Consider the following 14,324-nt stretch of genomic DNA (forward strand, 5'->3'; position numbering starts at 1 on the left):
AGGGTCCCGCATCTATTATTTTGTGACCAGAGGACATGAGAACATTGCTAGTCTAGATGGAAAAAGCTAATCCAACAGGTGAGATTGGAGATTCAAGAGAAACTGCATGTGGGAAGGAGTGCATAAAGTCGACTATGTTTCATAGCAAATCATTTTGTCAGCACAGGGCACAATGAAATGCCATCACAGTTGCCTCATTAGTAAGCAATATCTTCCATTTTTGAAGGCACCCCAGCATGTTCTGTAATAGCTCCCATTAAGTCCAGTCGATGTCCTCTGGACTCCCCCTCCGCCTCCCACCCCCAGATGATGATGACACAAATGTCTTGAAATATTGACATGTCCGCAGTCACTCGTTTACAGAATGTCTGTACAAATATTTACATTACCCCGTCCCTCCCAGCAAATTTGCCTTTAGATTAATCTGCACACCGAACGCAGGCCGGGAGTGGCTTGGAGTGTGGAAGGGTTTAAGGGTGTGGAAGGGTTGTAGTGAGGCGGGACTGACTGACTTTGATCGGCTTTGCCAGGGGCTTGAAGGAACCGGCTCTTCCTTTCGCAGAACCCAGGTGTTTCTCTGGGCCCGGGAAGTTTTTGCTCCCGAGCGAGTCAGGGACGGGAGCAGGCACGCACAGTCGCGTAAGTGTATGAAATGACGACCTCAGAAGGGCGCCCAGGGACATGGGTTTGGCAGCCCCGAGCGGAGGCCGCCAGGCAGCCGTTCCTTTCGGAATTCGGTCTCCCGCAGTGCTCCCGGCTGCGGCGCTCCTGGGCCGAGCGCTGGAGCCGTTCTGGGCAACCCTCCCGAGCGCGGCCGGCTCACCTCCGCCGGACTGCGCGGGGCGAGGGCTCCGCTACTGCGCGCAGGCCCGCGGATGGCAACTCGGGGTTTCCACTGCGGGTGATCTCGGGACACCACGGGTTCCCACGGAGGCCGGGCCAGGGGAGAGCCCTGGCTGTGGGACCCCGCGTGACCAGGGCGCAGGGCGCCGGGTCCTTAGCCCATCTGGCGGCGCAGGGAGGGGCGCCCGGTAGGGCGGGTGCGCAGCATGAGCCCCAGCCGCTTGCCGCTCCACTCCAGCCGGGCGGACGGGCGGGAGCCGGGGGCGGGGAACCCGGAGCGCCGCCCCGCCAGCGCGCCCCGCCCGTGGGAGAGGAGGGGCTGCAGCGCAGCGGACCACTGGAGGCGCAGCACGGTCGCCGCCGCCGCTGTCGGTGCTGGAGATCGCGGCTCGGTGCAGGCGGCGCCCATGCCTCCTCTCCTCCACTAGCCCGCGCGCCAGTCCGCCTGCCGGGGCCGGCTCTCCGCCTCCTGCCTCCCGTCGCAGCCGCGCAGCCGCCGCAGAGTCCGCGGCGCCACCGCTCGCCCTCCAGGTAGGTGTCCTAGCTGCAAAGGGATTGCTTGGGGCGGGCGCCAAGGTGCCCGCATCGCGGCCCGGGGGCATTGTGCGCCTCCGGCGGGCCGAGGACCCCGAGGGACGCGTGGGTGGGCAGCCGCAGCTTCGGGTCCCCAGGACATCGCCGTCCCCCTGGAGGCGCCCCCGGCCGATAGCCCGGGCTACAGGGAAGTGGGGGCGGCGGTGTCAGCCCATTCTCGCGGCCGGGATGGGAGGGGGCGTCTGTATCGCGGTCCCGGTTTGCCGCCCTCCCTCCCCCTCGTTGCCAGGGAATTCCGGCCGCCTGCCACTAGCGCTCGCATTCCCTCGCGCGGGCCGGCGCCCCTGCTCCCCGCAGGCTGCCTGGGGATTGAAGCAGGGGCAGGGAGAAGGACTGATGTAATTGTCAGCGGAAAACCGAACCGGCGCGGGTGAGAGCGCCCGCGCCCGCGAGAGCTAACGCCTACGCCGCACCTTTCAGGGAATCGGGGAAGCCGAGAGGAGCGGCTGGGGAAGTTGTGCATTGGGTTTTATTGTGCGCGTGCACTGCGGACTGCCCTCGCGGGGCACCCCTGCCCACCCGCTGCTGGCGCCCCTGCAGCCCTCCCGGCAGCCTCCGTCCACTCCCCCGGCCAGGGCCAAGTCTGCCTTCCCTGGTTCAGACCGGGACAGCGTTTGCATTGCAGTCAAGACGTGCTTCCCCTGCATCAAGCCGGGAGCTGCCCGCAGATCGTGTCGCCGGGGATGCTGGGGGAGGAGGGAATGGGAGACCTGAGGAGAAAGCCTGGAGAAGTAATGACACAAGCGGATTTTCTCCCCAAAGCTTCTGCTGCGTATAGACACATCTGCAAGGCACCTTTTAAGCTGTTTTTGAAAGTTATAACCAGATACTGATTTTGTGACAATTCTATGATATACCTGAACGGTTGCTTAAACATAGAGACCTAAAGCTAGGGGAAGCATTACATAATGGACATGAAGCAAATGACACGAAACTAAGTGAACCCACTGGGTTGCCAGATTATTTCTCTCTTCTGGACACAAAATCCTGTAAGGTTTTTTCTATAGGAACTTTCATTTTTAAATTGCTGGGCTAAGTTTAGCCAATTGTCTATTATATTCAGTTGTGATTTTTTTTTTCTAAATAATTTTCTTGGACATCTTTTCTTAAATTTAAAAATTGCATACTAATGGTTACATATCACTAAGCTGATTAGGAAATGTAGTCTTCACAAGGTAAAAATAAGAAATTTCCCATCTTAATACATTAACTTTGTTTTCCTCTTGTTTTGTTTTTGTTTCTTTTCCTTCTTTCATCCTTCCCCCCGCCCCCAACCCCCGCTTTATTTTTTGGAAACATTTCTACAGTTTTGGGTACTGCAAGCTCACAACGTTGATATTTCTATCACATGCTACAGCATTGCGGAGACAAAGACTAATAATAAATGAAACAGAAGACCTCGCAGTAACTCTGAGAGTTAGCAGGGTTCCCAAGGTCGAAGGGAAGCTGCAGTGTAATTCAGCAATAATCACCTACAGAGAATATGCATAGCCCTCATTGGGAAAGGCCCTGATTGGTGGATTTTATTATTATTATTCTTTTGCAGTAGGAGTTCATATATTTTTTCCCTAAAAAATAATTTTTCTTAAGGTAAAAATGAAATATTTTGAAATTAAAATTTCAGGCTTTTAGAAAGCCTAAAAATTCTGGTTTTGCTCATATTTTTGGATGCAATGTTGATAACGCCATTATACATTCAGTGGATGGATTACCTTTGGCGGTACCTCAGTTTCAGATTACTATGACTTGTCAGGTGACTCTTGGCTTTAGTATGAGGTAGTTCTGCTGGACTTTTATAGGATCACATATGTAAGTTTTCTTATCCCTAGATTGCTATAACCTTAAGTTAACTTTATTTCAAGGAGAAAAATAAAGTCCTTCCAAGATGAAATCTTTGTGGTTGGAGGTCTTAGTACCACCACAGATACCGGATTAGGTAAACTGCATAAGGAGATAAAAATTCTTATGACTTTACTCATGAAACTGTTGGACTAGAGAGAAGATAATATAGTTTTGAAAGGTAAGGCATACATTCTCAAAAGAAGGATTTTGTTGTTTTGCTGCAAAGGTTAGGTCATAATTATGATACTTTTTAAAAAGTGGTTTTAAATCTTGGGGGAAAAAGGGTCTCATAGTATCCATTGACTTCTGGAACTTTTTTTTCCTCACTCAATATTATATCTCTGGATTCATTCATACTGTATGTAGTTGTAGTTCACTGACTTTCACTGCAGTAAAATATTCCATTATGTGTCTTATAACGCAGTATGTTTCTCTTTTCTCCTCTCTGACCATTTTTTTTTTTTTTGAGATATTGCAGTGTTGCTCTGATTATTGTTGTTTCCTGGGCACACGTGCCAGTGTTTCTCTTGGGTTAATACCAAGGAATAAAATTGCTGGTTTGTAGGTTATGTGAATATTCAACTTATTAAGTATTGCCAAATTATATTCCCAAATGGTTGTACTAATTTACATAAACCAGGGAAACAACCAAATACAAACACTAAATAAAAACATGCACTTCTGTTTTGCATATATGTCTGTTGAAATACATATCTTTTTAGAAAGCAAGAGAATGATGAACGTAAAACTTAGAATGGCAGTTATCTTTTATATGGACTGGAGGGTAGCATGTGGGGAGGAACACACACATGGATGTTTGTTATTGATAATGACCTAGTCCTTGGGTTTCATGGTGAGTTTCTAGGTGATCATTGTACAGTAATTCCCCCGTTATCCAAAGGGAGTATGTTCCAAGTTCCCTAGTAGATGCCTGAAACCTCCGATGGTGCCAAACCCTATGTATATGCTTCTTTTCCATGCATAGATACCTATGATAAAATTTAATTTATAAATTAGGTACAGTAAGAGATTAACAATCATAATAAACAGAACAATTATTAACACTATACTGTAATAAAAAGTTATGTAAATGTGGTTTCTCTCTCTTTCAAATTATCTTATTACACTGTATTTACCTATTCTCAGAACCAGATTGACCATGGGTAATTGAAACTTTGGATGGGGGTAGATATTGTATTAAAAAAAAAGAAAGAGGATAATGCATGGACCAGTGATGATATTTTAAGGTTCTAAGGAAAAAGAAAATAAGGACAATAGAGTTATCACAAGACAATAAGCCTACAAGATATTAGTTGAAAGATGAAGATGCAGTCCCTATGCATAGGCATGAGTTGCCCAGAGTTCATGGAAGAAATTTGCAAAAAGGTTGAGCAGGAAGTGGTCATGCTGAGAAGAGGAAGGCTGTTGTGGACTTAGAAAATGATATGAACAGAAGTTGAGGGAGCCATGAGAAATTTTCCAACAGTGAACCACTCAAAGCATTTATACACTAAGTTTAGGGAACAGATAGGTGGGGACTACCAGGAGAGATCCAAGGCTCCTCGTTAGGAGGCACTGCTGATTGAGATGAGAGTTCTCAAGTTTGGAGAAAATGAAAAGGATTAGTTTAAAAACTAAAACTACTGTCCTAAAAAAGAAGAGGAGAGTCAAAGGTATTTGACTATAATGAAAAGAAATATGAAGAATCTTGGCGTGTAGTATCAATTTTTTTTTTTCTTTCCAGACAGAATCTCGCTCTGTCGCCCAGGCTGGAATGCAGTGGCGCAATCTTGGCTCACTGCAACCTCCTGGGTTCAAGCGATTCTTCTGCCTCAGCCTCCCTAGTAGCTGGGACTACAGGTGCATGCCACCACACCCAGCTAATTTTTGTATTTTTAGTAGAGAGGGGGTTTCACCATATTGGTCAGGCTGGTCTTGAACTCCTGACCTCATGAGGTCTGACCCAGGAGGCAGATGTTGCAGTGAGCCGAGATTGCACCACTGCACTACAGTTTAGGTGACAGCGAGACTCCATCTCATAAATAAATAAATAAATAAATAAATAAATAAATAAATAAGAGAACTGCGGCACAAAGAGGTTAAGTAATCTGCCCAAGGTGTTTTCCTTATCTGTAATGTGGACGTACTATCTGTAATATGGACATACTATTAGGGCTTAACTCTCCAGTTGTGTCAAATATTCTGTGAACTTCTGGCCCAGAGTAAAAACTCACCACATATTGCCAGCAATGTTAGGGAGTTGTTGTTATAGAAATAGTACCCCCAAAGGTACAATAGCTAAAATGACCAAGGATAATTTAATTGGATCTCAGTTTTTCAAGTATTAAGCATTCAAATAGAACATTTCTTTCAAATTCATCTTTGTCTAACTCAGTTGGCCTTGGGTATATTGTTGGTGTTTAGTGACTATTAGATATGACAGTTTGTGCATTTGTTATATTCTGAGAGGAAATTAAATGCATCATATATCCATTGGATGTTGTGGATTCTTCACTCAGGCTTTGCCATGTTCAGTGCATAAATACTATCTGGCAGATAGTAAAATATGACCAAAATTATTAATCCCTATGTGTGATTAAAAGAAACATAAACATAAAACTCAATTTTCTTAAATCAAATGAGAGCTTTCATGTGTCAGTATCCAAAGGCAGCGTTTTAAATTTTGATTATACTGTGAAATTCTGCTTTAAACAAATAAAAATTCACATTATTTTCCGTCCTCTTCTCTTCCCCCTTAAACCCCTACCATTACTCTTTCTACACACTTAATATTTCTGTTAATTTGCTTCTGAGGGAATGCTTGGGTATTTACTGCTAAGTGTTTTTCTGGGTCTTTCTAGAAGGCCGACTGATTTTATTGCTTAGGTTTGGGGCCAAATCCTATGGTTGCCTGGCTCTCTGAGATATTGAGTCTTCAACCTTTAGCTGCCTGTGAGTGACTGCTCAAATGTCATGGGGAGCCTCTGCAAGATAACCATTAAGGGTTTTTTTTTTTTTTTTCATTTGTTAAATCCCCAAAACTAATGCTATTAAGGGGCTTTTCATAGAACTAGAAAGCTCTATGTATTCATCTTTTTAACTCCCACATCACATAGCCTTGTACATAGTGGACATTCAGTAAGTGTTGATAAATATACAATTTTTGTTAATTGATTCGTATAAAATTACACTGTACATTGTTTGCCGTTTGAAATGCTAATTATAGTTCTGTTTGGTTTGTGTTTACATTCTAATCTTTCGGAACACTGGGAAAAAAATACTTTAAGCTTTTTCCCTTTAAACTTTGAAGGAAAACACATATTTGGATAAGGCAGTGCTGTACTTCTAGTCTCAAAGTGTCCATTATTGGGTAGCTAACTGACAATTATTTCTCTGTGTAAGAAATATTTTAAAAAAGTTCTTCGAGAATAATGCCTAATTATTCTTTGTGAGCTGGCCAAATTTTGTGAAATAATGAGGTTTAGGGATTACATTTTTCAAAGCCAGCAATAAAATATACAAAGATTAAAGCACATTTCTTTAAGTTGGAGGTGCTGGAGCTTTTTAGTTGCTTCTTTTTGCTTTTAAAATGGGTCATTTGACATTTATATGCAAATCAATAATGTATGAGTTAAATGCAAGCAAGCAAGGTTCTGTTTCTTCAGACCTTTTTTTTTTTTTTTTTTTTTTGAGATGGAGTCTCTCTCTGTCACCCAGGCCCGAGTGCAGCGGTGCAATCTCGGCTCACTGCAACCTCCACCTCCTGGGTTCAAGTGATTCTCCTGCCTCAGCCTCTCCAGTAGCTGGGACTACAGGTGTGTGTCACCATGCCTGGCTAATTTTTATATTCTTAGTAAAGATGGGGTTTCACCATGTTGGCCAGACTCGTCCTGAACTCCTGACCTCAAGTGCTCCTCCTATCTTGGCCTCCCAAAGTGCTGACATTACAGGTGTGAGCCTCTGTGCCTGGCTCTTCAGACACTTCTAAAAACTGCCCACAAATCATGATGTAACTTTCTTCCTTTTTCCTCTGCTGGCATAGATGATTACTATTATAAGAAATTAGTAATATATTTTTGAGGATGGTGATGGAGTGTTGTACAGGGGTGTTCCTTGATTTTAATATTTTCTATAATTCCTTGACATTTTCTTTCTAAAACAGATTTTCTTTAGGACTTCCAGAAATGCTTTAGGAATTCCAGATAAATATTTCTTTTCTTTTTTTTTCTTTTTTGAGACAGAGTCTTGCTCTGTCACCCAGGTTGGAGTGCAGTGGCGCGATCTCGGCTCAGTGCAAGCTCTGCCTCCCAGGTTCACACCTTTCTCCTGCCTCAGCCTCCCGAGTAGCTGGATTACAGGCGCCCGCCAGCACGCCTGGCTAATTTTTTGTATTTTTAGTAGAGATGGGGTTTCACCGTGTTAGCCAGGATGGTCTTGATCTCCTGACCTTGTGATCTGCCCACCTCAGCCTCCAAAAGTGCTGGGATTACAGGTGTGAGCCACTGTGCCTGGCCCAAATAAGTATTTTCTAAAACTGTAGACTCTACAAATGTATATTAATATTTCATTTAGAATTAAGATTAAATTTACCTTTCTGATTTGAAGATTAAGAATCATGGTTACTCTGTCCAAAGAAAATATTGGTGGGCAATGTTGGGAGTTAGCAGTTTGTAGGCATCTGATTTTCATAGAAGCAACTCAAAGTGACAACTTGAGAGTGAAAAAATGGCCATTTTCCAATGTAGTGATTCTTTTGGGATTACTTTGAGAATATTTTGTATCAAGAGACATATTTTCTTATTTATTTATTTATTTATTTGAGATGAGGGTCTCACTATGTTGCCCAGGCAGGAGTGCAGTGGCTATTCACAGACATGATCATGGTGCACTACAGCCTCCAGCTGCTGGCCTCAGCCCCCTGAGTGCCTGGGATTTTAGTTGTGTGCCACAGCACGCGGCAAGAGACATATTTTCTTAGTGGCTCAATATCTAAGACTTAACTAGCAGATTAGTCTTTCCAGCATTACCCAAATCACAGAAAGTATCTTAGAAGTAATTTTGTAGATGAGGAAACTGAGGCTCTGAGAGGTGAGGTGTCCGAGCCAGTGCCAGACTTGTACTGACCATCACATGCCTAGATACTAAATCATCCTGACCTGGCACATGGTCCACATTAGAGTTAATTTGTGAAAACATGTATGTACAGATGTAGAAAAAATACTGACAGGGACCTGTGGCATTTGTTTTCAACCTGAGAAGTGTGCCTGACAGTGTTCCCATGACCATTCTTACATGTGCTTGTTAACTGCAGTTATAGTGCTTTATCAGATATGATGTCAGCTTTAAGATCAAGTCACATAGTAGGCTCATAGAACTTTCGGGAATGGCAGAATCCAGATAGACTTTGGGTCAGTTTTTAATCAGCCATTCCAATCTGACACTACAGTGAGTGCTTATAGTATTGGAACCTTATAATAATATACTTTATTTTCTCTCTTCCTGACTTTTGTGCTATTGTTGTCATATTTATGTAATAAACCCCACATTATATTGTTACTGCTTTTGTTTGAAAAGTTATCTTTTAAAGATATGTAAATGATAATTTACAAAATCATATATTTACTATGTATTTACCATTTATGGTGCCTTTCATTCCTTTTTGCAGATGCATATTTCCATCTGGAATCATTTTCTTTCTTCTTAAAAGGACTTTCTTTAACATTTCTTGTTTCCAATGGTGCTAACTTTTTCACTTCTGTGTGTCTGAAAGTGTCTTTATTTTGCCTTCAATTTTGAAGATATTTTCACTGGGCATAAAATTCTAGGTAGACTGTATTTTTCTTTTTAGTGTTTTGAAGATGTAGCCTCCTGTTTGCATTGTTTTCAGTGAGAAATCTATTATCCTTATCTTTGTACATACTGTATCTTTTTTCTCTGGCTGCTTTAAGATTTCTTTTTATCTGCCGGGCGCTGTGGCTGACGCCTGTAATCCCAGCACTTTGGGAGGCTGAGGTGGCAGATCACTCGAGGTCAGGAGTACGAGACCAGCCTGGCCAACATGGTGAAACCCTGTCTCTACTAAAAATACAAAAATTGGCCGGGCGTGGTGGTGGGCACCTGTAACCTCAGCTATTTGGGAGGCTGAGGCAGGAGAATCACTTGAACCTGGGAGGCAGAGGTTGCAGTAAGCTGAGGTTGTGCCACTGTTTTCTACCTTGGGTGACAGAGTGAGACTGTCTCAAAAAAAAAAAAAAAAGAAAGAAAGAAAAAGATTCTTTTTATCATTGGTGTTGAGTAATTTGATCAGGATGTACCTTGATGTGGTTTTCTTTATGTCTTTTGTGCCACTGAGATTCATTAAGCATCTTTAATCTGTGGGATTTTTGTTTTCAAGAAAGTTGGACAAGTTTCTGCTATTATTTCTTCACACATGGTTTTCTGTTTTTTCTTCATTATTCTGTCTTTTGTGGGGAGTCCATGTACTGTATATTAGGCTGCTTAAAGTTATCTCACAGCTCACTGAGGCTATGTTCATTTTTTAAAGTTCTCTTTTCTCTGTTTCACTTTGGATAGTTTCTATTGCTGTGTCTTTACACTTAGTTTCTTTTAACTTTTTTCTTTTTAAATTGAGGTAGAGTCTCACCTCAGTTTATGAGGTAAGACTGTGTTGCCCAGGCTAGACTTGAACTCTTGGGCTCAAGCTATCCTTCCACCTCAGCTTCCTGAGTAGCTGGGATTATAGGCTTATACCACTGTGCCTGGCCCACATTTAGTAATCTCTTCTTTGGCAATGTCTACAGTATTAATCTCATCCAAGGATATATTTTTAATTTCAGACTTTGTAGTTTTCAGCTCTAGAAGTGTTATTTGGGTCTTTAAAAATATCTCCGTATCTCTACTTAACTTTTCGAACATACGGAATATAATTATAACTGTTTTTAATATCCTTGCCTGCTAATTCTAATCTTTGTGACAGCTCTGGGTCAGGATCTCCTTACCATGAGTCATATTTCCCTGCTTCTTTATGTGCCTGGTAATTTTTGATTGGATGCTAAATATTGGGAATTTTACCTTGTTGGGTGCTGGATATTTTTGCATTCCTGTAAATGTTCTTGAGCTTTGTTCTGTGACGCAATTAATTTACTTAGAAATAGTTTCACTCTTTAAGGTCTTGGCTTTAAGATTTGTTTAGTGGGACCAGATAGTGCTCAATTTAAGGCTAATTGTTTCCATGAACTAGGCAAGACCCTTCTGTGTACTGTACCCAATGTCCGCTGAATCATGAGGCTTTCTAGTTTGGCAGGTGGGAGTAGACTGTTCTTGATTCTGTGAGTGTAGGCACTGTTCTGTCATCTCTAGTGCGTTCTAGTGTTTTTTTCTCCAACCTCTTTGGCTTCCTTATACCTATGAGCATGACTTAACTGAATTCTTTTCTTTTTCTTTTTCTTTTTTTTTTTTTTTTTTGAGACAATCTCACCCTGTTGCCTGGGCTGGAGTGCAGTGCCGCGATCTCTGCCCACTGCAACCTCCGCCTGCTGGGTTCAAGCGTTTCTCATGCCTTGGCCCCCCGAGTAGTTGGGACTACGGGTGCATGCCACCACACCCAGGTAAGTTTTGCATTTTAGTAGAGAGGGTGGTTACACCATGTTGGCCAAGCCAGTCTCGAACACCTGACCTCAAGTGATCCGCTTACCTTGGCCTCCCAAAATGCTGGGATTACAGGTGTGAGCCACCCTGCCCGGCCTCACTGAATTCTTGATGGGAACTCTCTGCAGATCTCTGGAAATCTCTCTGTGAACATCTCCCTTTTCCTTTGGACTACAGCTGCCTTGGTTTTTCTGAACTGTCAGCTCAAGTCTGCTGCCCTGGGCCTGGGTTCCCCCTCCCTGTGCCACTGCTGGAAACTCACTCAAGGTAGTAACCTAGTGTAGTCTTTCTTAGGACTCACCTCACTCCTTTCCTCTCTCTTGGGGATCACTGTCTTTTGTTGCCTGATAATATCTTGAAAACTATTTCTTTGTATGTTTTGTCCACTTCTTGGTTGTCTCCAACAGGAAGATAAATTCAGTCCTTCATCTTGGCCAGAAGGAGAAGTCCCCCAGATATCTGTTGAAAGTGAGGAGGCAGGCAGAGGAGTGAAGTGGAGGTCTTGAGGGATTGTGGTAAAAGTTAACATAGCCAGTGCGGTGAAGAGGAAAGAGCTTACCATTGGAAGCCCACCTGAGAGGGAGAGTTACTCTAGCAATGCAGTTGAGTGAGTTGGCTAGCAGTTTTATTGATTCATTGACTGATTCCTTTTTGCTACTATTCATTTACTTATTCAGTGCCTACTCTGCACCAGGGTCTTAACATACATTATTTCTCATCCTTACAATAGGCCTACAAGGTGTTGGTATTGTTAATCCTTTACCCCCACACTGTACCCCACCTTCCCCCACCGTGAGCCCCAGCCTTTCTCAGTTTCACAGATGAGAAAATAGAAATGTCAACTGACTGCCAAGCTCCTGCAGTTTGTAAATTGTATAATCAGATTTCAAACCCAGTTTCCTGTAGCTCCAAAGCCAATTGGCCCATAATGCCTTTTCCTTGCCAGGGTTGGGATTTGTGTTTGAGACAGTGAGCTGGGGGGAATTGAGAGTGCTAAAAAGAGGTTGAAGTGACAGCTCATGATTAAGTAGACAGGGAAGAGAGGAAGCCAAAGATGAAGGCTGGTGGATGGGAAGAAAAAAGAAGCTTCAGCGGCCTTCAGTTCTCTATGGTGTGGACAATGGCTGTAATGGCCTTAAAGAAACAAGGGAGCCTGTAGTTAGCCCCAGATGATGACAGTGAGGAGTGATGGGGGAGAAAGAAGTCTTAGAATTCTACCTGATCTAATAAGTTCTGGATCTCTAATAACAGTTCCAGATAGATTGTAGGTCTGAGAAAGGTAAAACAACAAAGCTTCTAGAAAAAGAAAATAAGCAAAGATTTCCTAAACAGGACATAAAGAGTGCTCATGATAAAGGAAAACAATAGACAAATGGGACTTTACTGAAGGATCTTTTCAGCAAAAACACTGTGCAGAGGACAAAAAATCAAGCAGCACAGCAGGAGATATTTCCCGTATATATGCCCAAGTCACTTTTAGGTCAGCGACTTGGACAAATGAGAAGTTACATGTAGTCACTTATTGAAACACGAATTCATTAATAAATATGATAGATTTGTATATTTCCAGAATTGTTTGTCTAATCCTCTTAAGGGCATTATGTCGCTAAGCAGCACAGCTAAGTGTTTGATCAGTTTAATTAGAATGATCATTTGTCACACTTTAGAAGCATTTGGCTCTTGGCTATGAAAATATCAAAGGGTGGGCAAAAAAGTATTAATTTTGCCTTTTTTGAAAATGATATTTCAAACTGTTAAAATCTAGTCACAGTTGAATTAGTAAGTAACCTTCAACTACTTGAGCCTACCCAATATGCTGATTAATCAGATGATGCATCCAACTTTTCCACAATTCTTTTTAATACTGTATTACACAGCCACATGCTTAGGATTTCTCTTATTGGCTGTTTTGAGAAAGCTGGCATCTAATTTTTGTCTTGTGTGAAGAACTAAAGTATTTTCCAACAGGTAGAATGAAACAAAAAAGACCCGTCTCGGGTTTATGTGTGGTGAAAAAGCTAGCATATACTGTGTCAGTACAAAGGAAACTGAGAACCCAAATAGCACTTAAAGTTGTGTGGTTAGGGATTATGAGGCATGACATAGCAATGAGACTGAGTTCACAGGAAAAACGGTGTCCTTACTTGATCATCTTCCTCTCTATACAGTGGACAATGGGACAGAAAATCAGCACAAAATGAAGAGGCCACTGTCACATAACCTGTATATTTAGTGATATCATTATCCAGCCTTTGGTTTTCAAGATGAAGAAAGGGATAGAAAATTTGATTTATGTTGAATCACTTACCATAGGGTTTAGTTTACTTACTAAAGGCTTTAGTAAGCTCTTTACCAACTCTTTCTTACAGGAGGTTTTTTTGTTTTGTTTTGTTTTGTTTTTGTTTTGAGATGGAGTCTCGCTCTGTTGCCCAGGCTGGAGTTCAGTGGCACGATCTCGGCTCACTGCAACCTCTGCCTCCCGGGTTCAAGCAATTCTCCTGTCTCAGCCTGCCAAGTAGCTGGGACTACAGGCACCTGCCATCATGCCCAGCTAATTTTTGTATTTTTAGTAGAGATGGGGTTTCACCATATTGGTCAGGCTGGTCTTGAACTCCTGACCTCAGGTGATCCGCCCACCTCAGCCTCCCAAAGTGCTGGGATTACAGATGTGAGCCACCACACCCAGCCTGTTGTTGTTTTTGTTTGTTTGTTTTGTTTTTAGTAGAGAATTTAGGTCTCGCTGTGTTTCCCAGGCTGGTCTCAAAGTCCTGGACTCAAGGGATCCTCCCACCTCAGCCTCCCAAAGTGCTGGGGTTTTTGTTTGTTTGTTTTGTTTTGTTTTTAAAGAGAAAGCGATAGCCAGTGGGTCCCTGCCTATAAAGGTGGTCTTGTGTGGGTGCACCTGTGAGTGCTGCTGTGGCAGAGTGGTATACTGGTTTCCCATGGCTACTGTAATAAATTACCACAAACTTAGTGGCTTAAAACAACACAAATGTATTCTCTCCTGTTCTGGTCCTTGGTGTTCCTTAGCTCATGGCCACATAACTCAAAATCTCTGTTTTATTTTACATCCCTTTTCCTCTGTGTGTGTCTTCTCCTTTTCTTTGTCTGTGTCAGAACTCTCTCTGCCTCTGTCTTACAAGGATACATGTAATTGTATTTAGGGCCCACTTGGATTATCCAGGATAAGCACCTCCTCTCAGTATCCTTCACTTAATCATATGTTTTGGGGTCATATATGGTAAAATATTCTCTCTTAGCCATATAAGGTAATATCTACAAGCTCAGGGGATTAGGAAGTGAACATAATTTTTTAAGGGTGGGGTCGGTGTGTATTTTTCAGCCAACTGCAGTTGGTTTTTCCAGCTGTGAGTACATCTGCATCAGGAGATGCCTGC

General features: G+C 42.9%; 1 protein-coding gene across 48 annotated transcripts in view, besides 2 other annotated features; it reads left to right on the forward strand.

Moving 5' to 3' along the window:
• The first annotated feature begins 473 nt into the window (after positions 1-473).
• OSBPL6 (oxysterol binding protein like 6) overlaps positions 474-14,324 on the forward strand; it is a 209,120-nt gene continuing 195,269 nt past the window's right edge. For 43 of the 48 annotated variants that reach the window (XM_047443123.1, XM_047443149.1, XM_047443129.1 and 40 more), the window contains exon 1: positions 1,212-1,374. The gene's annotated coding sequence lies outside the window, so the exon portion shown is untranslated. Of the gene's footprint in view, positions 640-1,211; positions 1,375-14,324 lie in introns of those variants that run through there. The other 5 variants (XM_047443154.1, XM_047443165.1, XM_047443146.1 and 2 more) reach the window with 4 other exon arrangements.
• Positions 766-1,455: a silencer, noted in NCBI's record as "silent region_12148". NCBI's record gives its function as "represses an Ori minimal core promoter by ATAC-STARR-seq in GM12878 lymphoblastoid cells {active_cell/tissue: GM12878}" and the evidence as "EXISTENCE:reporter gene assay evidence [ECO:0000049][PMID:35858748]".
• Positions 1,902-2,196: a silencer, noted in NCBI's record as "tiled region #8011; HepG2 Repressive non-DNase unmatched - State 4:PromP, and K562 Repressive DNase unmatched - State 1:Tss". NCBI's record gives its function as "represses a minimal TATA promoter and a strong SV40 promoter by Sharpr-MPRA in HepG2 and K562 cells {active_cell/tissue: HepG2 | K562}" and the evidence as "EXISTENCE:reporter gene assay evidence [ECO:0000049][PMID:27701403]".

The sequence above is a fragment of the Homo sapiens genome, chromosome 2, assembly GCF_000001405.40.
Source record: "Homo sapiens chromosome 2, GRCh38.p14 Primary Assembly".
In the NCBI taxonomy this organism is placed as follows: domain Eukaryota; kingdom Metazoa; phylum Chordata; class Mammalia; order Primates; family Hominidae; genus Homo; species Homo sapiens.